Genomic DNA, 26,821 nt, shown 5'->3' with positions numbered 1-26,821 from the left:
TGTTACATACTGTGTGATTCCATTTACACAGCAGACTGACAGTCCCTGACTTAACGATGCTTTGATTTATAATTTTTTTACTTTATAATGGGTTTATTGGGGTATTAAATGCATTTTTGACATATTGTTGACTTATGATGTGTTTATCAGGATGTAACTCTATCATAAATTGAGGAGCATTTGTACTTGAAAAGACAAAATTATAGAAATGGAGAATGGATTAGCAGTGACCAGAGGTCAGAGATGGGATGGGGTGAGGGAAGGGGGCATGGCTATAAAAGGGTAACAAGAGAAATATTTGTGGGATGGGACTTTTCTGTATCTGGACTGTATCACTGTCAATATCCTGGTTGTGACACTGTACTATAGTTTTGTAAGATGTTGCCACTGGGGGGAACTGGATAAAGGGTACATGAGATCTCTCTGTATTATTCTCACAATTGCAAGGGACTGTACAATTGTCTTAAAATAGAAAATTTAATTTTAAGGAAATAAAATAATGTCATTGAAAATGGATGGTATTTTTCAATAAAAGGGGTAAAATCAACTGGATTAGTATACCTAGGAAGAACTGACACTTGATCCTTACATCTCACGCCATAGATAAAAAATTACAGGTGGATTAAAAGTCTAAATGTCAGGTGTAAAACAATAAAGCTCCTAGAAGATTACATAGAAGAGCATCTTCAAGAACTTAAGGTGAGAAAAGATTTCTTTATAAGCTAACAGAAAGTGCTAACCATGGAGGAGAACTTGAGTAACATTAAAATGAAGAACTTCTTCTCATTAAAATACATGACTGAAAGAGTGAAATGGCAAGCCATGGAATGAGAGAAGATATTTTCAACATATGTAATCAAAAAATTAAGAATTACTAGATATATAAAGAATTCCTACAAACATATAAAGAATGCAACTCAATAGAAAAATGGGGCCAGGTGCAGTGGCTCATACCTGTAATCCCAGCACTTTGGGAGACCAACGTAGGAGAATCGCTTAAGTCCAGGAATTTGAGACCCGTCTGGGCAACACAGGGAGACTCTGTCTCTACAAAAAAAAAAAAAAAAAAAAAATTAGCCAGGCATGGTGGCATGTGCCTGTAGTCCCAGCTATGTGGGATGCTGAGGTGGGAGGATTACTTGAGCAGGAAGTCTGACACCAGTCTGGGCAACATAGTAAGACCCTGTCTCTATAAAAAAAATAAACAAATAAAAGAAAAAAGACAAATATGACTTTTAAACAGATAGGTCACAAAAAAATGACATACAAATATCCAAATGGCCAATAAACTTATGAAAAGGTGTTCACTAGTAATGCTAAAATTTAAAAGGACTGACAATATCAAAGGCTTTTAAAAGATTGTTTTAGATTTAACATTTAGACCTTTAATTCTTCCAGAATTAATTTTTTAATCTATGGTGTGAGGTAGGCATCAAGTTTCAGTTTTTTCCAGGTATACTAATCCAGTTGATCTTACCCCTTTTATTGAAATATACCATCCATTTTCAATGGCATTATTTTATTTCCTTAGAATTAAATTTTCTATTTTGAGACAACTGTACAGTCCTATGCAGTTGTGAGATTCCCCTGGAGGAGAGAAGGGTAGTGATCAGGAGGAGATGGGGTGGGGGGCTTCTGAGATACAAGTATCATTTTTATTTCTTGAGCTAGATGGTTCCTACATAAATTTCACTTTGTGGTACTTCATGGAATTGCATATGCTACCCTTTTTTAAGTTTTGTTTAAAAAAAAAAAATACCACAGGGTGGGAATTCTGGCATAGAATAGTGAAAAGGTCACCAAATCTTCTCTCCAAAAAACAACTATAAAGCTACTCCAAATTCTCAAAAACAATCATTTCCACATCCTTGAAATTAACCAAAGGCCTTCATTCATGAAAAACTGCTTAACTTAGGCTAAGACAGGGGGAATCTGTGGAGTTCTTACCTGAAGCTCTCCCATCTCCCCCCGCACCTCCCCCCAACTCAGTTAATGCAGTCATTCCCACAGGGCAGGGCAGGGCAAGGCAAATCATAAAAACTAGCAGCTTTGCTGTCAGGGGCTGATTTTATTTGAAGCAGAAGGCACAGACTCTCGTCTGGCAGAAGTGCTGTCAGTAAGAAGCAGCAATCTCGGTGGCAAGTGAATGGGGAAAGCCAGTGGTTCTACCAGGCTTAAGCTGTGATCCTGACTGGGGCAGCAATACACCAGTAGACTAGCTGGGAATCTGACAGAGAGTTGCATGAAATATGACAGTCATAGAGATACCTGATAAGCCTTCCACATGTGCCCAGTGGATGGGTACCACACATACACAGGGGACAGCAGAGAGGGCCCAAGCAATTCACAAATTTCTGGCCTGCTGAAAGCCTGTAGGCATATGCAGAGGAGACAAAAGAGGGTCTGGAAAAAAGTAGAAACCAGGTCAGGCCTGAAAACTACCCGATCTTTGGATGTGCTTACAGACCCACATGCAGATCTATCAACAGCATGTGTAGGCCTGACTGGCTCAAGGTATTTGGAAACAACCCCAAACCAATCACTGACTGACCACAGAGCTATGCAAACACAGAGGTAATCTAGGAGGCCAGAATTAAAACAAGTAGGGATTTAAGAAAAGAGAAGAAAGCCAGGAATGGTGACATGTACCTGTAGTCCCTGCTACTTAGGAGGCTGAGGTGGGAGTATAACTCAAGCCCAGGAGTTCCAGGCTGCAGTGAGCTATGATCACACCACTGTACTCCAGCCTGGGCAACAGAGTGAGATCCCATCTCAAAAAAAAAAAAAAAAAAACAAGGACAAACTAACAGAGACAATGATCTCACATTCACACATCAGGGGAAAATGAATTTCACAGCTTCAGTCCAGGTCAATTACTACACAAACAACAACAACAACAAAACCCAGCAATACTAGCAACTCTTGGGAATACAAATCAGCATCCAGAACTGCTGCAATATATTACCTGAAGTGTTTGTTTTCAACACAAACTTACAAGACATCCAATGAAACAGGAAAGGGTGACCCATACTCAGAAAAAAAAAAGTCAATGGAAACCGTCACTGAGTGTCCCCAGATGTTAGATATAACAAAGACTTCAAAGCTTTTTATAATATAAATATATATTTATATTATATATTTGTATAATATAACTATATATAATTTAATATATATATTTTAATACTTATATAAACCGTTGAAAGATAAACTATAATATAAATATCTTTCAATGGTTTATATATTATATAATATAAATACATTCAAAGACATAAAGATGGTTTATATATTATCTTTCAACAGTTTATATATTATATAATATAAATCTTTCAACGGTTTATATATTATATAATATAAATGCAGTCAAAGAAATAAAGACAACTATGTGTAAAGAATTGAAGAAAAGGATAATAATAGTGACTCAAAACACAAAACCTCAATGAAGAGACAGAAATTATTTAAAAAATGGAAAATTTAGAATTAAAAAGTATGACTGCGGAAATGAAAAATTCATTACATGAGGGCTTGCAAGATGGCAAAAAAAAATTAGTGTGCTTGAAGATCAATCAATAGAAGTATTCAATCTAAAGAACACAGAGAAAAAACTGAACAGAAAAATAAACTGTGCCTCTGACATACATGAGACATCAAGTGCACTAGCATATGTGGTGATGGGAGTCTCAAGAGAACAGGAGAGAGAGAAAGACACAGGAATAAGATTTGAAGAAATAATAGCTGAAAATTTCCCAAATTTGATGAAAAGCATTAATCTACAGATTCAAGAAGATCAACAAACACCAAATAAGATGAACACAAGAAAAATCCAAACCTGGACACATCATAGCCAAACTGTTGAAAGACAAATAAAGGAGCAGGAGAAAATTGATTCACAGTGTCCAGAGTAACAGCAATATGATAAATGGCTGATTTCTCATCAGAAACTATGGAGGAAAGAAGGTGGTGGAATGGCATATTCAAAATATGAAAACAAAAAAAAATTTGTTAGCCAAGAATGAAAGCAAACTAAAAACATTACAGATCAAGAGAAACTGAAAGAATCTGGGGCTAGTACAGCTTATTTAGAAGAAATACCAAGAGAAGTCCTTTAGGCTGAAAGGAAATGTCAGATGGTAATTCAAATTCACAGAAAGAAATGAAGAGTACCAGAAATGGTAAATACATAGACGAATATAAAAAGCTCTATAAATGTATTACTTTCTCTTTCCTTCCCTTAACTTCTTTTAAAAACATAAGATTGTATAAAGCAATATTTTTAACACTATATTGTTATATGTTATAACATACGTCAACATATATTAATGAAATATATGATAATAATAGTACAAAACAGGGAGAAGAAAATTGAGCTATGTTGGAGTAAAGTTTCTATATTTTACCATAATTGTTAGTATTAATGAAAAATAGATGGTAATAAGTTGGTATGCATACTGTAGTCCCTAAGGCAACCAATAAGAAAATAACTCTAAAAATTAGTTTAAAAATTAACAGAGGAATTAAAATGGCACATGAAAAGTATTTACCTAGCTCAAAAGAAGGCAGCACAGGAGAAAAGAATGGGTAAAGACATGAGACATGGAAAACAATGAAGAAAACAGCGACCATAAGAAATAAAAAAATTGCATTAAGTGTGAATGGACTAAACAGACCAAATAAAAAGCAGAGATTGTCAGACTGGACAGCAATATGATCAATGGCTGATTTCTCATCAAAAATTATGGGGGGAAGAAGGTGGTGGAATGACATATTCAAAGTGTGGAAACAACCCAAATATATACTGTCTAGAAGGGGTACATTTTAGTTCAAATATACAAATATGTTGAAAATAAAAGGATCGAAAAAGATATACATGCAAACAGTAACCATAACAAAGCTAGGAAAATATATACATGCAAATATTAGCCATAACAGAACTGGAGTAGGTAAAAAATTTTTTTGGGGAGACAGGGTCTCATTCTGTCACCCAGGCTGGAGTACAGTGGTGTAATCTTAGCTTTCTGCAGCCTCAACCTCCCACACTCAAGTGACCCTCCCTCCTCAGCCTCTCAAGCAGCTAGGACTACAGGTGTGCACAACCATGCCCAGCTAATTTAAAAATTTTTTTGTAGAGACAGGGTCTCCCTATGCTTCCCAGGGTGGTCTCAAACTCCTGGGCACAAGCAATCCTCCTGCCTTGGCCTCCCAAAGTGCTGGGATTACAGGCATGAGCCACCACACCCAACCTGGAGTAGGTAAATTAATGTCAGATAAAATAGACTTTAAGACAAGAAATATTGTCAAAGACAAAGAGGAAGGTTTCATAATGATAAATATGTCAGTATCTCAGGAATATGTAACAGTTATAAATAAATATCCTCATAACAACAAAGTCCCAAAATACATGAAGCAAAAATTGGCAGAATTAAAAGGAGAAATAGACAAATCAACAAAAATAGTTGGGGATTTCAATACTCCACTCCCTCTCAATAACTGATAGAACAACTAGACAGAAAACCAGCAAGGACAGAGAAGACTTGAATATTACCGCCAACTTGACCTAACTGACATTTATAGAACATTCCACCCAAAAGACCACACAATGTTTTCAAATGTATGTGGAAATATAAAGGAATATTATGAACAACTTTACACCAACAGATTAGACCTAATTTAGATGAAGTGAACAAATTCCTAAAAAGACACAAATTATCAAAACTGGTTTAGTGAGAATAGAAAATCTGAACAGACTTGTAACCAGTAAAACAAAAACAAAAAAAACTAAACTAAGACATAACAAGTTAAAAAACAAACAAACTGATTAATTTGAAATCTTCCCACGAAGAAAAGCCCAGGCCCCTATGACTTTAGTGGTAAGTTTTGTCAAATATTTAAAGAAATAATATCAAAACTTCACAAACTCATTCAAAAAAAAAAAGGAGAAAAACTTCTCCACTTATTCTGTGAGAGCAATATTTTCCCTGATACCAAAACCAAAAACATCACAGAAAATAACAGACCTTTAAACCTCATAAGCAGAAGATTCAAAAATCCTTAAAATATCAGCAAACCAAAACCAACAACATATAAATATAGGTAGAATTTTCCCCAGGAATGCAAGGTTGGTTTAGCATCTGAAAATCACTAATTTTGATCCCCTTAATAGATATAGAAAAATAATTTGACAAAATCCAACACCCATTCACAGAAAAACTCTCAATAAACTAAAAATGGCAGAGAACTTCTCAACCTGATAAAGACCATCTATGAAACCCCACAGTTCCCATCATATGGTGAAAGACTGAATGCTTTTCCTCTAAGGCCAAGAACAAAGCACCTCTGCTATTCAAGATTATTCTGAAAGTTCCAGTTAGTGCAATAAGGCAAGAAAAAGAAATAAAAGTGCTCCAAGAGGCCAAGATGGGAAGATCATTTGAGGAGAGGAGTTCAAGACCAGCCTCAGTAACACAGAAAACCTTGTCTCTACAAAAAAAAAAAAAAAAAATTTATCCTGGCATGATGGCACACGCCTGTAGTCCCAAACACTTGGGAGGCTGTGGTGAGGAGATCACTTGAGCCCAGGAATTCGAGGCTTCAGTGAGCTGTGATCATACCGCTGCACTCCAGCCTGGGAAACAGAGTAAGACCCTGTCTCTGAAAATAAAAAAAATAAAATAAAATAAAAATAGGCATATACTTCAAATGGAATAGAATTGAGAGTCCAGAAATAAACTTTTCCATTTATGATTCCAATAAGATGTAGTGCAGAAAAGATAGTCTTTTTCAAAAACATGTATACAGCAAAACAAGCTCTGACACTCACACACCATACAGACGTTAGCTAAAATTGGACAATAGGCCTAAGTGCAAGAGCTAAGGCTATAAACGTCCTAGAAGAAAACGGAAGAAATCTTTGTGACCTTGGGTTAGGCAAACGATTCCTAAATATGACACCCAAAACATGCTCCATAAAAGAAAAAAAATGATAAATTGGACTTTATAATAAGTTAAAAAATGTCTGTGCTCCAAAAAGATACCATTAAGAAAATGAAAGACAAGCTCCAGAGTGGGATAAGAGATCAGAAATTACATTTCTGATAAAGGACTTGTATCCAGAACATATACAGAACTCACAATAATTCTGAATAATTTTGAAACTCAATAATAAGACAAATCCATTAAATATGGGCAAGAGATTTGAATAGACATTTTATCAAAGAAGAAATATGAATGCCTAATGAGCACATGAAAAGATGTTCAACTTCATCGGTCATTCGGAAAATGCAAATTTAAACCACATGGGACACCATTACACATCCGCCTGAAGATCTGTAATAAAAAGACCGACAATAGCAGGTGGTGAGAGACACGCAGGGGCTGGAACCCTCACGTGTTGCTGGTGGGAATGTAACATGGTCCGGCCAGTTTGGAAAACTGTTGGGCAGCTTGTTAAGAATTTAAATATGGCCGGGCACAGTGGCACACACTTTGGGAGGCCGAGGTGGGTGGATCACTTGAGGTCAGGAGTTCAAGACCAACCTGGCCAACATGGCGAGACCCAGTCTCTACTAAAAAATACAAAAATCAGCTGGGCATGGTGGTGCGTGCCTGTAATCCCAGCTACTTGGGAGGCTGAGGCAGGAGAATCACTTGAGCCTGGGAGGCAGAGGTTGCAGTGAGCCAAGATTAAGCCAGTGCACTCCAGCCTGGGTGACAGAGTGAGACTCCATCTCAAGAAAAAAAAGAATTTTACAATATGAACTGACCAGATGAACTCTCCTTCCAGGAAGCTGCCCAGTTTGTGCACGAATGTTCACAGCGGCATGATTCATAATGGCCCCACGCTGGACACACATGCTCTGCATGTGTTTTGGATAATGGATAAGTAAAACGGTCTAGCAATACAATAGAATACTATTCAGCAATAAAAACCAACAACTACTGACACAGTCTATAAGATGACTGAACCTCAAAAATATGACACTAAGTGTTAGAATCCAGCCACAGAAGACTGCATATTGCAGGATGCAGGATCCCATTGATGTGAAATGTCCATTAAATGTAAATCCACAGGCTGGGCGCAGTGGCTCACGCCTGTAATCCCAGCACTTTGGGAGGCTGAGGGGTGTGGATCACCTGAGGTCAGGAGTTCGAGACCAGCCTGGTCAACATGGTGAAACCCTGTCTTTACTAAAAATACAAAAACTATCCAGGCATGGTGGTGGGCGCCTGTAATCCCAGCTACTCAGGAGGCTGAGGCAGAAGAATCATCTGAATCCAGGAGGCGGAGGCTGCTGTGAGCCGAGAACGCACCACTGCACTCCAGCCTAGGCAACAGAGTGAGATTCAGTCTCAAAAAAAAAAAAAAAAAAAAAATTGTAAATCCACAGAGACAGGGTGCAGATCAGTGCCTGGGGGTGGGGTAGGGGGTGCTGACTACAGTTGGGCATGAAAATGTTTTATAGCTGGTATGTAGTTATGGTTGTGCAACTCTATGAATGCATGAAAACCACTGCCTGGTGCCCTTGCAATGGGCTTGCAGATGGAGAGTGGAAGGCACGGTGACGGTGTCGGCGCACAGGATGCCTCTGTAAAGCTGCTCAGGAAGAAAAAAGAAGCAAGCTCACGCAAGGGAAACAAGCGCAGCACAGCCGCTGCCCCTTTCAGCATCGTCCCCCAGGTGATCAGATTCTTGTCCCGAGGGTGGTGAGAACCAGAATGACTTTACCAGACCCCAGACCATCCACGTCTTGACCATCCTGCCACACTTGGTTTCCACTCAAAACAGAAGGATCTCCCCGTGACCTTGGGGTACCTTCCCAAAAATCAAACACACAATTTGTTCCCCTACGTGATCTGCCTTGGGCACTCCTCCAAGGGGTGTTCCAGCACTGCCCTGGGCCCACGGACCGGGTCAGAATGAGCCAGAGTGCCCAAGGCAAGCCCAGGCTACTCCCAGGATAACACCTGTTTTGCTTTCGTATCCAGACCACGGAGCCCAGCATCGGAGAATGTCCACTGGGTAGGTGAATGAATGAATGAATCAGTGAATGAACACTTCTAATGCGTAACTCCCATGTCCCGACTTCATGGTCATGTTTAATGAACTGTGCACCTGCACACAGGAGCGCTCAGGGGCACACGCGCCCCCTTCTGCTCCCCGTTCCATCTCTGTCCCTGCCCTCTCCTTTCCTCGAGGATGGTGATCTGGGTGCCAGGGCCCTGTGGTGGACAGGACAAGGCAAAGGTGACCCTGCACAATGGGGCTTTCAGAGGACTGGGGACACCACGCCCGCAATGGCCAAGGACAGGGGCAGAGTCACAGGAGGGAGCCACTGTTGGAGTGTGGCCAGGGGGCAGGGGGAAGGGACCCTCATTCTGAGCACCATGGCATCCAGGCTGTGCCAACGCCCCACAAATGCCACCCCGCTTGGTGGGACTCACCCCAGCAGACAGGAGTTAGCAGCTCCAGTGCACAGGTGCGAACATGAGGCTTGCAGGAACCCTCGGTTCCCCTCCCCACATCCTCCCCGGGAGAGCTCGGTAGGGACGGGGCTGAGGCAGCAGCCTGGGCCTCAGTTTCCCCTCCTGCCTGAACCTCCAGGGAACGTTCCTGTGGGTTCCCTCAGCCAGCAACCTGCAGGGGACCCCAGAGCAGGCCCCGGGACTGTCCTCCTGGCCCCAGGCCCAGAGTTCCCTGCCCACGGCCCAGATGGTCAGGCCAGGCACCCCCAGGCTTGGGGAGGTCCCAGAGCCTCCTGCAGGGAGGGGGATGTGCAGCCGTGATAATGCCAGCACAATGGACCCAGGCCTGGGCTGTAGCTATGGCCCTCCCGCCCAGCCCTGGTCACCAGCTAGACCCTGGCAGGGTACAGAGCCCTGGCTGCTCTTTTGTCAAATGGGAGCCATGCGCAGTTGTGTGTGTGTGTGTGTGCGCGCGTACGTGTGTGCACGCGTGTGTGTGTGCGCGCACGCGTGTGTGTGTATGTGGGGGGTGGGCTCTAGCTGAGTAGGTGCCAACATCCCTGCAAGACGGGCATAATCATTAGTGTGTAACTCAGGGTCACGCAGCCCAGCGGAGGTGATGGGAGATGAGGGTCAGGGTCCCCAGGCCTCTCCTCTCCTCTGCCACCCAAGGCCAGTTCCTCGGGGTGAGCACTCCTGGGAGCACAGGCCAGCCCCTGACATCACCCACTCTGGCATCACCCGTGCTCCAAATCCCAGTTCACAGCGTGTCCACGCGATGCCCGCACCCCACACTCCCGATTTCGCTGCTGTGCCAAATATTCCCTCACTCGCTAAGCCGGGTAGTCACCAAGACTGTCGCAGAGATGGGGGATGCTCTGGCACCCACGTGGGCAGACAGAGGGCAAAGTGAGAGCCGAGGCTCAGGGTCCACACCCACGACCGCTGGGGCCAGGCAAGGGCAGCAGGGCTGAGGCTGGTGGTGGGTGCAGGAAGAGGACACCAGAGGAGGCTTGGGGGAAGTCTGGGCACCATGGGAGGTGCTGAGGCTGTTTACAGACCTTTCTGTAAAATGTGGGGTGGGGGCCCAAGGGTGTCCCAGACAGGCTATGCTGGGTTCTGGCACATGTGAGCCGTGAGCCTGGACCATGTTACTTCCCCACTCCATGCCTCGGCCTTCTGGTCTGTGAAATGGGCACACAGCACCTCCCTCCGGGCTGTGTGAAGATTCCCAGTGGCGCGGGCCTTACCCACAACTGACATGCAGGGCCGCAGGGTGGGGCGGGAGAGCTGCTCTGAGCCCAGGTATGGGGTGTGAGGCTCAGGTGCCCTGGGTGGTCGTGGCAGGATGGGAGCTGAAGTCCCATGTTGGCACAGGCTGCACTCCAGGACCCCATGGTGTGTGTGTGCGTGCACCTGTGCCTGTGCACCCCTGTGCATGCCTCCCCAGTGTGTGTGGGAGCACGGTGGCACACACACTGTGCATGGTGAGGGCACAGGCGCCCAGGGCTGGGAGCTGCCCATTCAGCTGAGTCCCCTCGGTCCCTGACTGGTGTGGATTCGGGTGCGGGAACACTGGATTTCTGGTGAGTTGTTTCTCTGAAAAGCTGTCTCTGGGGACTCACAGCCCTCAGATGTAGCATGCTCTTGCTCTGTGGGGACAATGTAATGAAGGAACAAAAATAAGCCCGGATGTCTGTCAGACAGCAAACACCTCAGGGGCCTGACTCTCTTCCTGACGTCCCTCCCTGCCTACCCCAAGGACAGGGGAGCCGGCCGCTCCCAGACCCACCAGGAACCCGCGGGAGCTCCACACGCTCCCTGCATCTCAGAGCCTCCATCCGCTCGACTGAATTTGCAAAAAAAAAGAAAAAGCAGACAACAAATTCATTTTACAGAACCTAACCCTCAGACGGAAGGAATTTCACATCAGAGCCACGATCATTCATGAACCCACATCGGCTGCCCACTGTGGTGTCCAAGAGGGGAAAGGGGTGGGGGGGCCAGGAGGGTGTGCACACACCTCTATTCACGCAGACACTAATCTACACACACGTGAGTTCATGCACGTGTGTGCACACTCCCATATTCAGACACGAATCTACATGCACACACCCGCGAACCTACACACACCCCTGCACAGTCCTCTGTTCACACAAGTGGTAATCTACACGCACACACGTGAACATGCGTGCCTGCTCCCATATTCACTTGGACACCCATCTGCACCCAGAGCCACACGCAAATGAAGATCTGAGAATCCCGTCTCCTGGAGGAAGCCGGGGTGCCGGATACCTGAGGAATGGGCCCTGAGCCCCACTTCTGTGGGCACCCTGAGGGGTTCTGTGCCAAGATGACCCCACTGTTTCATACCAATCCATTCTGGGGGGTTCATCTCCCCAAGAACACAGCTCTGAAATGCTAATGGCTGTCAAAGGGAAGCAGGACTTGCTTCGCACAACCTTCCTCTCCACAGGACGGCCTCCCTCATTTCCTAATGAATATAAATAGGAAAATGGGTTTTGCCTTACAGAATATTTTTCTCTATAGGAATGTAGCTCCAATTTCTAAGCACTGTCAAAACAGAAGTTACATCCTCTCTGTCTCTCCGCTGCCAGCGTCGGCACCCAGTACGGGCTACCCTCATGGCTTTCAGACGTCGGCAGTCCCCTGGGTGGCTCATTCCCTCGTGTGCCCTTAAAAACCCTTTCTCCGTCGACATCAGAGGGATGCTTTAAAGCCAGCCTTGTCTCTCAGCTGCTGCAAACTCCCCAGAGACTTCCCGAAGCAATCCGAGTACCAACCAACTCTTCCCAAGAGCTCCGACACAGGAGCAGCCCGGACCCTGGGGCCTCTCCCGCTCACCTCTCAGCCCCCACGGCCAGCTGCACTGGCCTTGCCCTTCACCCACACGAAGCGTGTCTCGGCTGCGGGGCCATTACACCTGCTCTCCCTTCCCCAGCATCCTCCTTCCCTGTCTCTTTGCACAGCAGGGCACAGAGGGACGCAGGGACCGAACCTGCGCCCCATCCAGGTTCCAGGGCTGCAGGTCTGAGGGCCATGCAGGGCAAGTCAGAAGGGCGGGGGATTCTGCCAGCAGTGGCGGCTCTGCCCTTTCCAGAACTGGTGTCAGCCATTTACACTCCCCACAGCCATCCATCCACCCCCGTCCTCACATGACGGAGGAGAGGCCGAGGCTCCGGGAAGGGAAGGGACCCACCTCAGGTCACGCCGAACACCAGAGGCTCCCCAGCCCGGGCCACCCCATGATCTGCAGCCAAGCCCTTCCACCATTCCACAGGACAGATAGATGCAGGGGTGGTCCCTCAGTGAAGAGGGCAGAGGCCGGGCCCTTCCACAGCTTCCACGGGGCAAACAGACACAGGGGCAGTCTGTCAGTGAGGAGGGCAGAGGCCTCAGTGCAGGCTCCCCTCAGGCAGGGAGACAACAGACTGGGGGTTCCTCTCCAGGGTGCCCTGGAGCCACTACCAGCACCCTTTAGGCAGAGGTAGGCACTTGGCTAATGCCATCTCCCTTGGGATCTGGTCTAGGAACCAGCTGCCACCTTTCCAGACATGTCCGGGAAGCATCCCAGTCCCCCTCCCAGGCAGCCTCCCTCGGTCAGCACTCTGACCAGTGCGGGGGCCAGGCAGGAGCCACAGCACAGCCCAGAGTCCACGCCCAGGAGACACATCCTGAGGGTCCCCAGCCCCTTGGGCTTCTAGGGAGGCCGTGGAGGTCGAGATGGCAGTGAGGGAGCCAAGCGCTGGCCAACCCTTCATGCAGCCCTGGCGGGGCAGCTGTGCTGTGGGTATCTCCGGGACACCTTCCCAGCCACTACTTCGGGCTGTGTCTCGACAGCGCGGGACTGTGAAGGCACACAGCTGTCCTTGACTCGTCCCTCCGGGCCAGCGACGCCTCACTGTGTGCTCTGCAAAGCCCTCTCCCTGCAGGGCCTCCTGCGCACCGGCCGAGGGTCTGGGGAGCCCCCCGACGGCCCCCCCATTTCCAGACCCCGCTCCTCGGCCCCAGGAAGCCGGGCGGGATTCTCATCCATGTGGGGCGGGCACATGGCTGGCTGTGTTTGTATCTGTGTTTATTAAACTAGAGAGAGTTAATGACTAAGAGGTGCCTGAGTTTGATCCTGCTGAAAATAAGACTCGGATCTGTCGGTAAACACGGGGGAGCCTCCAGGCTGTCAATCATCTCCCGGGGTTTCCATCCCAGGAAGGATTCCGCCTGGACCCAACCCAACAGCCTCCAAATGTCAGGGCAGCAATGCCGGGGTGTGCACCTGTCACGTGGACAGACCCCCGCCCCCGAGCCCTCGGCCGCCACCTGGCCACATGTCCAGCGCTGGTGAGAAGCTCTCAGCGCGGTCAGCACTCTGTGACAAGCCCTCTGACAGAAGTTACCACTGGAGTGGGGCGGACAGCAGAGAGATGCGCTTCTGTGGGGTGGGGTCCTAGAGGGGGTAGTGGGCCACAGAGGGCCTGGGGGTGCACAGGGGTGGAATGTGGCTTCCCAGACAAGCTGGTTCACCTCCACGCCGTGGGCTGCCGGGTCCCCGTCGGTAAGGCCAGGGCACTCTCCCAGCTGAGCCCGGATATGAGGTGTGGGGAGCCCAGCATGGGAGCAGGGCTGAGCCCAGATACCACTGCCTGCAAGCCTCAGTGGCTTGCGGCCACTGCCCTGTCTGCGCCTCAGTGTCCCTATCTTTAAAATTCAGAGATTGAATTGGGGGCTCTAGCAAACACAGTGGACCTGGTGATGGCTGGGCTGGCCCGGGCCGAAGGATGTTTCCCGCCCGGCTGTGCCTCCTCTGTCCCCATCCCTCCCTCGGAAGCCCAGAGTGCAGTTTTCCAATATACCCCAGCCTCATGTGGGGGCACTGGGCACAACACACAGGGAGGCAAGGCCCTGTCCCTTCCACCAGTCTCTCCCACTGTGGCTGCCCGAGTCTGTCCTGGAACTGGCAGAGGAAGACATTAGGGCAGACGTCGAGGGCGGGGGGGTCACCGTCCACTGTCATGGCCCCTCTCCCCACCCCCCTCACTGCTCTGGGGGCCTCACACCTTCCCTTCCGCTGCCTCTCCTGCCTGGATGCCTGCCTCTTCCTGTGGGGTTATCTAAACTCTGCCCACCCTATAGGGGCCAGCTAGACCCCTCCTCCTCAGCCCCAAAGAGGAGCTTGGGTCCGGCTCACAGGCGAGGGGAGCCTGGAAGCCGTGAGTCCTGAGGAACTAACTGCTGGGCAGAAGGGAGGCAACCGGGGCTGAGTAACCGAGATCCTGAGACTCCAGGGTCTCCCACCACAGAACAGCCCCAGGAGTCCTAGCCATGTGGGTGGGGAAGAGCTGTGTGGACCAGCCTCCATGGCTCAGTTTCCCCACTGGCTCCTGTGCACCCCCATGGCCCGGAGCAGGGAGCGGAGGAGTGGTCCTCTCTGCCTCAGTTTCCCCACCGGCTCCTGGGCACCCCTCATGGCCCAGAGCAGGGAGCAGAGGAGTGGTCCTCTCTGCCTGACTCAGTTTCCCCACTGGCTCCTGTGCACCCCTCACGGCCCGGAGCAGGGAGCAGAGCAGTGGTCCTCGCCGCCTGACTCAGTTTCCCCACCAGCTCCTGTGTACCCCCGTGGCCTGGAGCAGGGAGCGGAGTAGTCGTCCTCTCTGCCTCCCCTCTGAAGGTCCCTCAAGCCCTGCTGGACCCCCTCCTGCCTCAGCCTGGGTTCCAGCTCTTCTCCAAGACCAAGACCCCAGCTGCCCCAGGACAGCTCTACAGGTGTGGAGGCCTGGTCCAGCCACAGCTCCAGCTTACTTGCTGTGTGACCTCGGGCGATGCTGGACCCTTCTGGAAAATGGACCGGCTGGACCATCTTCAGGGGCTGGACCGGCTGATCTCCGAGGGAAAGGAGGCACATTTATTTGTGAGACCATTGTCTTTCCATCTGGGGATGCCAGCTCCAAGGCAGCCAGGCTCCTCTGGGCTTTGTCCCAGGCTCCAGGTAGGGCACACAGTTGGCCCTTGTCTGCCATCAGCGCTCCCAGGGTGGTCTCTCACCTCCCGCCCTCCCTCCCCAGGAGGCTGGAAGAGGTGGGACAGAACCAGGTCTCAATCCACCAGCCTTGGGAAAGGGACATCCGGGGCAGGGGGCGGGGAGGGGGGGCACGGTGCTGGGCTCGAGTGCCCATAGCTGCCACCCTGCTTCCTGTTTACTGTCGGTGCCACTGACTGGCTCAGGGTGCACAGGGGTGAAGGGAGGCAGCAGCCCCCAACGACCAAGGCCTCCCACCCTGCTGGAATCCCCTGACCTGAACCAACACAACAGGACACAGACGCCAGACATAGGACCCCTCCACCACCCTCTCCGGCCCCACCCCAATCCGGGCCTCAGTCTCCCCATCTGTACAGCTGGTGCTGGAATGGATGGCGCCATCGTCCACTGCAGTGGCTCCACCACCAGCCACCCCCACAAACACCCACCCAAGGCCACTTGACACCTGAGCTTGTGCTGGAAGAAACCAAATCCACAACAAAAACAAAAAGGAAAGAGCGGGGGGGGGCGCTGGAGAGATGACAAATGTATCCAATGTCCGCGGCGGTGCCACCATCCGCTCCAGGTTCACGCCTGGAAATTTATGGCCTCATCACCCAGCCCTGGAGATCTATCTATCTCTCGCCTGTCACTCACTTGCATTTTTAATCCTGCCCCCCGCCCCGCCACCGGCCCCCTCGTGTATTTATGCACCACCCACCCGGGCATCTCGAGGGCCTGCCTGTTTCTTTCTTGTGAAGATATATGAACACCCCAAGTCCATGCACCTCTGCTCATAAATTTCCTCCAATGCGATGGTGTCTGAGTCTGGCACGGAGAAACACAGTCCCCTACCAAAATGGGGAATTGGCTTGTCGGGGGGGAAGGGATCCTGGGGTGGGGGCTCTGACCTCAGGGGGACCTTAGAAGGAGGCTTTCCTGAGTGCTTAGAAAATTCTATCAAAATCTAGAGCTGATGCGTGTGTGTTGGAAACAGATAGAGAAAGTCACCAACATGGGACCCAGGCAGCCACTCCGATTTTACCCCATTGATCTCAGGCACTGTGGTCATATTTTAGTCCCATTAATTTTTCTCTCCTGGAGAGCAGGTGAAGCCTACAAGTATACATTTAGGGTGAAAATATTCAAATGCCGGGGTCCGAGACAGGCAACTACTCCAGGCTCTGGCCCTGGGCGCTTGCTGGGACCCCGGACACCTGTTTCTTGGTGGGGACCGTGGTAGGGAGGTGGAGGAGCAGCAGCCTCTCCCTGGCCCAGGTGTGGGGAGCCTGCCTCCAAAGACACTTTGAAAAATCAGTGCTTTCCAGTGGCAGTCCTGGGGCATGGTGGGGAAGGGACGCCGCCCTCCCTCCCCTCCTCTGGTCCTGGGTGCAGGTGCCCACCACATCCCTGCACCCTTACCCCAGACTTACCAGGCCTCAGGAGTGTGGCTCTGGTTCAGGTGCCCACTGGCTTTTCTGGGAGTCGGGAGCTGCCTGCCGAGCCTGCTGTATCATCCTGAATTATACGCACACAGCAGTCCTGCTGCGGCCGAGGAGGAGGGGGCTGCACAGCTGGCTGTAGGACAGGGGGAGGGGCATGGCCCCCAATCTCTGACTTGGAGACCCCCAGGTCTTCTGCCCACTAGGGGTGGGGATCAGAACTCCCTGACCACCGTATGCCCAGGAAAATGAGGGACCCAAGTGCTGGGGTCCTGGCTGGGCTCCAAACCCCCTCAAATCCAGGTGAGGGGGTGACCCCCTCCCACACACGGCCCCCTGGAGTTTGTCCCCCTGCTTTGGTGGAGTGGGGCGCAAACCTGGGCTGGGACCTGTAAGCCAGTCTTCTCAATGCTTGTTCAATTAAAAGGTGGCAGGGGCAGGGACCCAGGGGGCAGGAGGCCAGGGGGCCAGCCAGGCAGAGAAGAGGAGCATGTTGATGCTTTTCAAGCAACCTATGCCCAACCCAATGGGGTTTCCCCCAAGGCTGGGTGCAAGCTGGACCTCTTTGGAGGCTGGGGGCCTCTCTAGGGGGCAGCCCCTGAGAGAGGCAATATGGGGAGATTTGCCATTTACATCTGCTCCTGGCTCCCGGTCCCTCCACAGCTTCTGTCCCCAGGCTCTCCGCACAGCCCTTAGCCCAATCGAGGGAATGAGCGGCAGAGGCAGCCAGCCCAAGCCAGGGTCCAAAGAGGCCCCACTCCGGGTGTGCAGGAAGGGAAAGTGCTGGCACGGAGGCTTTTTGAGGACGTGCACACCTGGCTCGGCCGGCCTCGACCCTTTCTGCTAAGCCTTCGTTTTTTTCAGAAGGCATGATCATCCTAGCCCCATTTCACAGGTGTGGAAACTGAGGCTCTGAGATTCACCTGCCCCAAGGTCACACAGCTGAGACCTGGAAAAGCCGGATTTTCATCTCAGAGGGTGTCGTTTTTATGGGGGGGGGGGCGGTGTGCGGTACGGCAGGCAGTGCCCCCCGCCCCACCCTCAGCATCAAGCAGGTGACCTGCAGGTTTCAAAGGATGGAAATGGGGGCGCTTGTCTTTAGAGGCAGGTTGGGGCACGGAGGCTTGGCAGCCTCCTCCCAGCCCCCAGAGGGACGAGGACGAGGATGGACTCCAGGTGGGGCGAGGGGTGGAAAGCACCCAGTAAGTTCAGTTCGGAGCGAAGCCCCCCACCCCACCCCCCCGCCAGTGGTTGGACTCAGGGGCTGGGACCGAGGAATGTGACCCCTCCCCGTGCGTGACTGGACGGTCCCCGCGCGGAGCGAGGAGGCTCGCAGCGTCGGGGGGAGGGCGGCCCAGCAGGGAGGGCGATGCGAGCCTGGGGAGGGGTCAGCGACTCGGCCAGGAGGTGAGGACAGCCCCCTAATTTCCGGGAAGGGAAGGGCAGGGGGCCGCGTCTGGGGGGCGCCGGGCAGGGTGCGGACGGCGAAGGGGGACGGAAGGGAGAGAGGCGCTGGGGAAGGGACCTCTCGGAGGCACGGGGCAGCGTGCGGGCTGCGGCAGCGACCCCGACCCGGGCCCCCGGGCTTTGTCGGGCTGAGCCTGCGCCCGCTCCGCCGCCGCCAAGTTCCTCCAACTTTGCCCGCTGCGCTCGGATCGCGCGCCAGGCCTGGGGGCGCAGCAGGGGCTGGGGGCGCACGCTGCGCACTCGGGGACGCCCGGGGTTCGAGGTGGCGGGGGGCTTGGCCGCGCCGCTCCCCGGGGGTGGTCCGGGTCCCAAGTCCCCCAGGTTCAGCGCCCGGCCGCGCTCGCCGCTTACCTGCCCGCCCGGCCTCGGTTCCGGGGCTGCGCCCGCAGCCGCCGCCGTCCTTCAAGCTCTAACTTCGCTCCCGGGATTGAAATTCCTCCCCAGCTTCGCCCATCGATCTGCGCGCGCGGCCCCGCCCCTCGCCGCGCGGCCGGGGGGGAATTCAAGCTCGCCCTGCCCCCTCCCGCCCCCCTTCCCTCCCTCCCTCCCTCCTTCTCTCCCTCCCTCGCTCCCTCGCCCGCCTGCGCGCTCCCTTCCACCCCCTCTTCCTCCGCCGCGAGTCCGGCTCGGAGCCTCTGGCCCTCCCCTTCTCTCCCTGGCCTCCCGAGCCCCCTGCTCTCCTCGGCTCCCCGCGGCAACCCGCTCCTTCCCTCTCCCGGCGACGCGCAGGGGCTGGGGAAGGAGGGGAGGTCCTAGAAAGCGCAGGGGGCGTCCTCGCGGTCCGTCCCCGGCCCTCCCCGCCCACATCTAAAAGGTGGAGGGGGTGGGTGGGTGGGTGGGGGGAGTGGGGGCGACAGCTGTTGGCTGAACAAGCTACCCGCGACTCCCACCACCTCAAGCAAAGCCAAGGCGTTCTCAGGTCCTCCCGTCGGTCCGCCCCTTATCCGGGAGGGCAGGGACCTAGGGGCGGAGAACGCAGGGCGCAGGCCGGGCCTCCTCTGCCCAGCCCTGGCCCCGCTTCCTTCCTTCATTCACCCCAACCTCTGTGAGGACTTCAGGGGGTTCTGGAGCACTCTTCGGCTCAGTTTCACCCTGACAACCTGCCTGTGCGGAAGCCCCCGTCCGCATGTTACAGGAAGGGAAACTGAGTCAAGAGAGGCCCAGAATCTGGCCCTACACAGCGCGTCGAAGGCAGAGCCCCAGGGGCAGCCTGGACCCCCGGCAGGAGCCTCGGGACTCCACGCTCGGGCCGGGCAGGCCCCGGCGGTGCCTGGACAAGCCCGCGTTCGCAGAACGGCCGGCGCCTGGGGACCCTCTCCAGTCCCCGCGCAGCCCGCGCGTCCCCGCCGGCGCCCCCTCCCCGCTTCCTGTCCCCCGCCCGCCTCTGGTTCCCGGCCTCAGTACCCCCGGCACGCTCTCCGCTCGCCGCCAGCAGCTGGGCAATTCAACGAGCATACAAAAGAGTTGACTCAATTCAAAGGCAGCAAATCAAGATAAATCCTATAGTGTGTGGGGACCGGAGAGGGAATGTGAATGAACGCCCACGACGCCGTTCAGTCCTGTATGGACCGGCCTAGCCCGGCTGCAGGGCCTGACACGCCCGGGTCCTAGGGTTCTCCAGGAGCCAGAATCGGAGAGTGGGCTCTGAGCTGCCTTGGCTCCCAGGCCCCCAGCACTGGCCCGAATTTAGTAATTTAGAGCTTGTGGCCTCCTTCGGCTGGCTGGGTGGGGCTCCCGTGATAGGGGTGCAGAGCCTTGAAGGGGAGTGCTAGGACGAAAGCCAGTGCGCCCCCACGATTTCATGCAAATACTGGGGGGCAGGGGCCCTGGAAACCCAGCACAGCCCCAGGGGCCGGCAGGAAGGGCACCGGTGGTTTGGAACACCTAAGCTGTGGCCTTTCTCCCTCTGCCCCGACCTGGACCACGGTCAGAGCCAGGCCGCAGGCCAAGAGCAGGTCCTTGTTTACCCACCAGATAGATACTGCAAGCCTGGGATGTGCCAGGCCTGGGCCTGTGGAACGAGGCCGGCGGTGAGCGGGGCACCCTCTCCTCCCTGCCTGTCTGTGAGGTCTCCCCAGCTGCAGCTCCACTAGGGAGAAGCTGGTCGGCCCCCAGAGCTTCCTTGGTCACGCTTGGAAGGTCCCAGTAAGCTACCCTCCAGCTTCTGGCCTGGCCAGCCTTGTGCAGAAGATGACCACCGGGCTCCGGGCCCCAGCCTATCCACTCCGCCTGCCAAACATAAACCCCAAGAGAGGTACTGGATCCCCATTTCCAGCAGGTTCCCCCAGGCCTGTGCTGGCCAAGTGCAGCCGAAGCTCTGGAATGAGCCTCCTTTGCCTTCGCAGGTGTCCCCCGTGTGCCCTGCGCTGTGCTGGGCGCCTGCCCGGAGGAGCCGCGCCAGGACGTCCTGCTACTTCCCAGGAGCAGGCATGATGAGTCCATTTCCTCGGGGTGCAAACTGAGGCCGAGGGCCTCTTCAGAGCGCCCTTGACCGGTACTGCCTGACCCCAGAGGTCAGTTCTGCGGTCACTCGGGGTCTGAGATCCACGGAGAACCTCAGAGGTCAACTTGAGGGGCGGGTAGGGGTACGCGCGCGGGGCCGTGGGAGGCGAGATCCCGCAACCTGAGGAGCCAGGACCCCAGCAGAGAGCGAAACCTGGAGCTGGGGGAGGGGACGGCAGAGGACTGGAGGCCGGGCTGCACGGCAGGGGTCGAGTCCTCGCGGCCGCCCCCCCCCCCCACCCCGAGCGGAGGCTGCGCCGTCCGGCTGCGACCGAGTCCCCGGAGTCCCGGCCGGGTCGCCCCTCCCCCGTGGCCGCGCCGATTGGCGGCCTGCTGTTACCCGGACGCCGGCGCCGCCGCCGCGAGGACATCTGTCCGGGGCCCAACGCCGCGCTCCACGCCCCCTGCCCCTCCCCCAGACCCAGAACCGGGGAGAGGACGCGGCGGTGAAGCTGGGAGGTTGGAACCTGGAGGGCGGCGGAGTCCCGGAGTTAACGGGGCGGGGGGCGGGGCCGGCGCTGGCCCTGGGGACAAAGATCCCCACGCTGCCTGAGGGCTGGGCTCTGCAGACACCGAGGCAGGAAGAAGGACTCCGTATTCCCCGTCCCCCAGATCCTCAAATCCACTCAGGCTCAGACCTGAGTGTCCAGGTGGGGTGGGGGAGACCGAACCCTCCTGGGCCCTCGAGGCGCGCGAAGGCGACGCTGAAGGGGGGACGCCGGGACGCTGCTTCCTCCCTGCACACGCCGCCCGAGCTGCATCCCTAAACGCTCCAGGAGCTTCGCGGGTCCCCCCTGCCCTCCACAACCCCCGAAGCTGCCCCCAGCGACCTCTCCCCGCCCTCAGATGGGGCCGCAGGGGCGGGCGAATGTGTTGCGCTCGCCGTGGGTTGGGAGGAAGGGCGCGGATTGTAGGAAGTCCCTGCTCCTCCCTGGGCAGCCTGGCCCCGGGGACTCGCGCTCAGCCCGCGGCGGAGGACTCGGTCGGGAATGGTGCTGAGATTGCGCGGGTACGGCCCAGGGCCGTGACCGGGTGGCCACCGTGCAGTTTGGGAAGAGAAAAAGTTCGGGGGGGGGCCGACACCCCGAGATCGAAGAGGGAAAATGGGAGGAAAGCAGGCGGCAGGGAGGGAAGAGCGGCGGAAGAGGGACCAGGAGAGCTGGGGGTCCGCTCTGGGCCCCGGGGTCCCGCCCCACTCGGCAGCCCAGCCCAGCCCAGCCCCGCCGCGCCAGCTTCCCGGACCGGGAGAGGCTAGGGTCACCGACGCCTATTAATAGCCGCGAGCGGGTCCTTCCCGGGAGCTCCGCAGCGGTCGGCAGAGCCCAGCCACCGGCTGGGGTGGGGGCGGGGGTCCCGTAACACCCCCTCCGGAGGTTCAAGCGGCGCGGGGCGGGGCGCTGCGCCCCCCCACGCCGGCTTTGCGAAGTCGAGGCACCCACAGCCCACTCCCTCCCCACCTCCGACTCCGAGACCAGGTTTCAGATGAAGAGGGGTTCGTCTGTGGTTCAACTTGGGGCGCCGCGGCTACCCCAGCGCACTCGAAGGCGCGCCCAGCCCCCTCCCCCTCTTTCTGCCCAGCCGGCTTTTTGCTCTCAGCGCGCTCCGGAAAGTTTCGGGGTCCCCGCGGCGCCTCCCTAGCCCTAGGGGTCCGGAGTCCTGGCCCTTCCAGCCGCGGCGTCGGGGAGGGAAGTTTGTCCGGCCCAGGCTCGGCGGCCGCTAACTTCGGGTGCGCCCGCCTCCGAACCTGGGTGGGTGGATGGGGACGCCCGGGAGCCGCGGGCCCCGAGCGCCGCATCCAGAGCCCCGCGGGCGGGGAGACTCGGCCCTGGCGCGGACGCCGAGGTCAGGGCACCAGGGATGGGGTGGCCCGGGCTGCGAGAGCCGCTGGGGACCCTGCGCTGCCCCCCGCCGCCCCCCCCAGAGAGCATCCTCTTCCCTGCCTCCCCTAGGGGCGGGGACCCTCCGATCCCGCAGCGGCGACAGAGGGGTCCCCCGGCCCCGGACAGCCCCCTGCCCCTCAGGCCCCTTCTTACCTGGGCCGGGGTGCGGGCCCCGGGCTGGAGGCACTGTCGCGGGCGAGCAGAGCGCGCGCACCCCGGTTCCCCGAGCGCGGCGGCGGCGGCGGCGGCTTCCCCTCCTTCCTCCTCCTCTTCCTCCTCCGGGCTCGCTGGCTCCAGACAGCCCTCCTCCCCCTCCCGCCCTGCCGGCCCCTCCCGGAGCCCGCCCGGCTGGACTCGGCCTGCGACCCGGAGCCCAGCGGAGCCGGCGGGAGCCAGGCTGCGGCGCTCACTGCGTCAAGCGCGGGGCGAGCGCGGGGCGGCGGCGGCGGGGACCGCGCGCTCGGAGCCCGGGGCTGGCCGGGCAGGCGGGGGAGCGGCGGCTCCGGCTCCGACTCGGGCTCGGGCGCGGGCGCAGTGGTGGCGGCCGCGGCAGCGCCGAGGTTGTAGCACATTCTTTCTGAGCGTGATGGAAGGTTTCATGTGGGAGAGCGCGCGGGGAGGGATGGGGAGGGGGCGGGGGCCGCGGCGGGGGCGACCGGAGGGGCGGGGGGCGGGGTCGCTGCCCGCACGTCGGTGGGCTGGGGGGTGGCCGGAGGGGGGCTCCGGAGGGGAAGTTGGAGCCAGCCGCGGGGGCGGCGTGGGAAGCCGAGTGGCGGCCTCGCCCCCTCCTCCTGGCCCGCCCCGCTCGCCCCCTGCCCCCGCCCCAGGCCACCCAGAGGCTCCCAGGCTTCGGTTTGGAAGAGAAGCGTCCGAAGGTCTGGGGGTCGGGACCCTGGTGGCGCTGGGAGGTGGGCCCCTGGGTGGGGACACGGCTGTGCTCACAGGCGCCCGGCAACCTCGTGGAAGTTGACCCCAAGTCAGACCCTCTGTGAGCGCGCGCGTCCGCGAGGGCCAAAGCACAGCCCGCAGGACGCGCGTTTGCGGGGCGGGGGGAGAGCGGGGCACTTGGGGGCGGGGAGGTGGAGCGAGAGGGTCGTCGGGCCCCTGGCGGCCCCGCGTCCCCAGAGACTCGCCCTCCCCTAAGGTCGCCGACCCCTCCCTCCCTTCCCTCCCCGTTGCGCGTCGCCCCCCGCCTTTCGGCCGGGAGGAGGGGGAGGCGTGGGAGCGGCCCGGCGCCTTCCGATTCCCGGAAGGTTCGGTTTAGCGGATTTCCCTCTCCCTTCATGTGCCTCCGGAATCCCAGCGGATCCGAAATCGCGCCCTCGGGCTCTGAGCCGAGGGGTCCCCCGTCGCTCCCTGGTGGTCCCGAGCCCTCGCCGAGCGGTCTCACGGCTTCCCAGGGCGTCTCCCGCTCCCACCCGCCCCTTCCCCAGCCTGCGGCTTTCGTGTGGGCTAAAAATTCCAAACCAGGCTCAAGAGCGCCCTCGCCCGGCTAAGCCCCCGCGCGCCGCTTCACAAACCGGCCGCGTGCGGAGCTGCGGAGCCCGGGACCCCCAGCGCGCGCTGGGCGCGACACTCTGGACCCCGCTGCCAGCGCCGCGCCCCTCCGGCCGGGGAGCCCCACACCGTCAAGAGGGCAGGGAGAGGGGAGGGGAGGGGACTACTGGAGGGGAGGGGGCTGCTCCCCGGGTGTCTTTCCCGGAGGAGGTCCCGGGACAGGGGTGGGGGTGGCGCGGGAGGCCGCAGACAGCGCGCCCCGAGGATGGCCGGGCCGGGGATGGGCGCGCGGGGCTCCTGTCCGGACGTGGGTCCAACGGCCTCTCCGCAGCCCAGAAACTCCGTCCAGCCCGCGGGACGGCCGCCCGCCCTCCGACCCCGAGCCTCTACCACACTTGTTCCTGCAGGACGGGGTTGGGGGGACTGAGACCGTGATTGAGGCCGGGGCATGGAGGAAGTGCCGCCGCCTGCTCCCGGGATTGCTGGACACGAAGGGTGGAGGCCAAGGACGGAGCCCCTGCCTGCGGCTGTCCAGCCCTTAGTCCCTGCGCGGGGGCGCCCAGACCTCCAGGGAACAGGGAGACAGAGCGGGCCGAGCCCGGCCTGGGGGGGGTCTCTTCCTGGTCCCTCAGGGAGGGTCCCGGCTGCTCTGAAGCGCGCAGTGGCCTAGGTGCGCACACAGCCCCTTTCTCTCACTTCCCCCCTCCCCTACTCGAGGGGCCTGGAGAGTCCCGGACCTGGCTCCTTGGAGGAAGCTGGGAGAAGGGAGCTGTCCCGCGGACCTTCCAGGGCGCTGAGGAATTTCAGCCCTGACTGACTCCCTCTGCAGCGCCTTCCAATGCTGAAATATGCCCTCCTGTCCCGTGAGAAGGCAGGGCCCCCGCGGGGCCTGGCTGGCCTCGGGCTGCTGTCCCCCCTCAGGCTGGGAATGGGCCACCCCAGGACAGACCCGAAGAGAGGAGGTGGGAGGAAGGCTGGCTGTCTCTGGCCTCTTCTGGAGCTCTCTCTCCCCGCCTCTGTTTGCCTCTGTCAGAGAATATGTTTGTTCTCTCTCTCCCTCTTCCTCTCTCTCTCTCCCTCCACCCTCCTTTTCTGTCTCTTTCCCTCTTCCTCTTCCTCCTCTTCTCCCCTCTCCCTTTCCGCCTCTCCTCTCTCCTTTTCTTTCTCCGTCTTGGTCTCTTTCTCTCTGACATTCATCTCCTCCTGATCCCCCTCCCCCAGCAGACAGAGGTACCCAGAGGCAGCCTGTGTGGTGTAGACACCTTACAGCACATCCAGGGAAGATGCGTGTGGATACCCACCCCAGCTCCCCGCCGCAAGCCGGTGTCCCACAGGAAGATGCCGCAGCCTCACTGGGACAGGAAGGCTGGAACCCCCCCCACCCCATAGCTCACACTGTGGTTGTGCAGAGAGTTGCAAAGGCATCCTGCTTCACACACCCCCGAATCGCACACACCCCGCCCCACCCAGTGTAACCCTCACACGCAGGCACGCACACTGGTGTGGCACTATGACGATCCTTCCTGTGATGGAGGTTCCTAATGGCTGGTGGCTGGCATGAAGTCATTTAGTCCTCACAGCAACCCTAGAAGTGAACCAGCTGTGAAGATCTCCAGTTCCCAGAGGGTAACATCGAGGGGTCCAGAGATCAAGTACCTTGGCCAGGGTCACCATAAACTGGAAATGGCCAAGCCAGGGTTTGAATCCAGATGGTCAAACTTGAAGGCAGCTGTACTAAGCATGTTCCCATCTGCATATGCACATGCGTTCACGCACAGTCGCTCCACACACACGTGCTCGCTCAGGCCTCCTTTCTGAGGTGCTGCCACTGCCCGGCAGCAGCCCAGACGCAGCAGCGATGGCCCGGTCCATCAGACAGCCTGTCTTTCCAGAGATGAGTCAGCTGGGCCAGGACCTAGGACAGAGCTAGGGATGGTGGGTGCACCCCCACCCACCTGGGCACCGTTGCTAGATCCAGGGCTTAGCAGGTCCTTCTGATGTACAAAACGTCCTCGTTCAGAAGAAAACGGCCCAGTTTAAGACCTGCCTGGGCAACATAGTGAGACCCTGTCTACAAAAAATAAAAAATTAGCTGGGTGTGGTGGTGTGTGCCTATGGTCCCAGCTATTCAGGAGGCTGAGGTAGGAGGATCACTTGAGCCCAGGAAGTGGAGGTTGCAGTGAGCTATGATCGCACCACTGCACTCCAGCATGGGCAACAGAGCAAGACTGTCTCAAAAACAAAAAAAGAGCTAAACTGCCAGTAAGATTCTCATTTTTATGGAAACAAATCAACCACCATCTCATGACCCACCCAGCTACCCTTTGGGGAAGAGGCTGGTCAGTAAGAGCCGTAGGGGCCTGGGGCTGTGGGGCCTCAGGGCTTTCCTTAGGTGGTTGGAAGCACACCCCCTCCCCTCCACCCTGCCACTGCCCTGAGCCTGTGTCCCTGGACGCCCTGACTTGATGTGTCAGTTTCATCCAACAGAGTGTGAGCTTGAGAGAGCAGGACAGACTGACTCACCTCCAGGCCTCAGTGCCCCA

General features: G+C 55.8%; 1 protein-coding gene across 7 annotated transcripts in view, besides 4 other annotated features; it reads right to left on the bottom strand.

Annotated features, from left to right (window-relative positions):
• ELFN1 (extracellular leucine rich repeat and fibronectin type III domain containing 1) overlaps positions 1 to 23,041 on the bottom strand; it is an 81,883-nt gene extending 58,842 nt beyond the window's left edge. The window contains exons 1-3 of one of the 7 annotated variants that reach the window (XM_047420362.1): positions 18,751 to 18,828; positions 16,924 to 17,068; positions 955 to 1,047 (exon numbers count right to left, since the gene is read on the bottom strand). The gene's annotated coding sequence lies outside the window, so the exon portion shown is untranslated. Of the gene's footprint in view, positions 1 to 954; positions 1,048 to 16,923; positions 18,829 to 22,934 lie in introns of those variants that run through there. The other 6 variants (NM_001394188.1, XM_047420363.1, XM_011515398.3 and 3 more) reach the window with 6 other exon arrangements.
• Positions 17,276 to 17,982: an enhancer, noted in NCBI's record as "H3K4me1 hESC enhancer chr7:1710759-1711465 (GRCh37/hg19 assembly coordinates)". NCBI's record gives its function as "activates a minimal SCP1, AML or CMV promoter by ChIP-STARR-seq in naive H9 embryonic stem cells {active_cell/tissue: H9 hESC(naive)}" and the evidence as "EXISTENCE:reporter gene assay evidence [ECO:0000049][PMID:30033119]".
• Positions 17,983 to 18,689: an enhancer, noted in NCBI's record as "H3K27ac-H3K4me1 hESC enhancer chr7:1710052-1710758 (GRCh37/hg19 assembly coordinates)". NCBI's record gives its function as "activates a minimal SCP1, AML or CMV promoter by ChIP-STARR-seq in naive H9 embryonic stem cells {active_cell/tissue: H9 hESC(naive)}" and the evidence as "EXISTENCE:reporter gene assay evidence [ECO:0000049][PMID:30033119]".
• Positions 18,690 to 19,396: an enhancer, noted in NCBI's record as "H3K27ac-H3K4me1 hESC enhancer chr7:1709345-1710051 (GRCh37/hg19 assembly coordinates)". NCBI's record gives its function as "activates a minimal SCP1, AML or CMV promoter by ChIP-STARR-seq in naive H9 embryonic stem cells {active_cell/tissue: H9 hESC(naive)}" and the evidence as "EXISTENCE:reporter gene assay evidence [ECO:0000049][PMID:30033119]".
• Positions 19,397 to 20,104: an enhancer, noted in NCBI's record as "H3K4me1 hESC enhancer chr7:1708637-1709344 (GRCh37/hg19 assembly coordinates)". NCBI's record gives its function as "activates a minimal SCP1, AML or CMV promoter by ChIP-STARR-seq in naive H9 embryonic stem cells {active_cell/tissue: H9 hESC(naive)}" and the evidence as "EXISTENCE:reporter gene assay evidence [ECO:0000049][PMID:30033119]".
• Positions 23,042 to 26,821: the final 3,780 nt, after the last annotated feature.

This window comes from Homo sapiens, chromosome 7 (assembly GCF_000001405.40).
Source record: "Homo sapiens chromosome 7, GRCh38.p14 Primary Assembly".
Lineage (NCBI taxonomy): Eukaryota > Metazoa > Chordata > Mammalia > Primates > Hominidae > Homo > Homo sapiens.
Note: the sequence above shows the minus strand (reverse complement) of the source record. Positions and strands in the feature narration are given on the sequence as shown.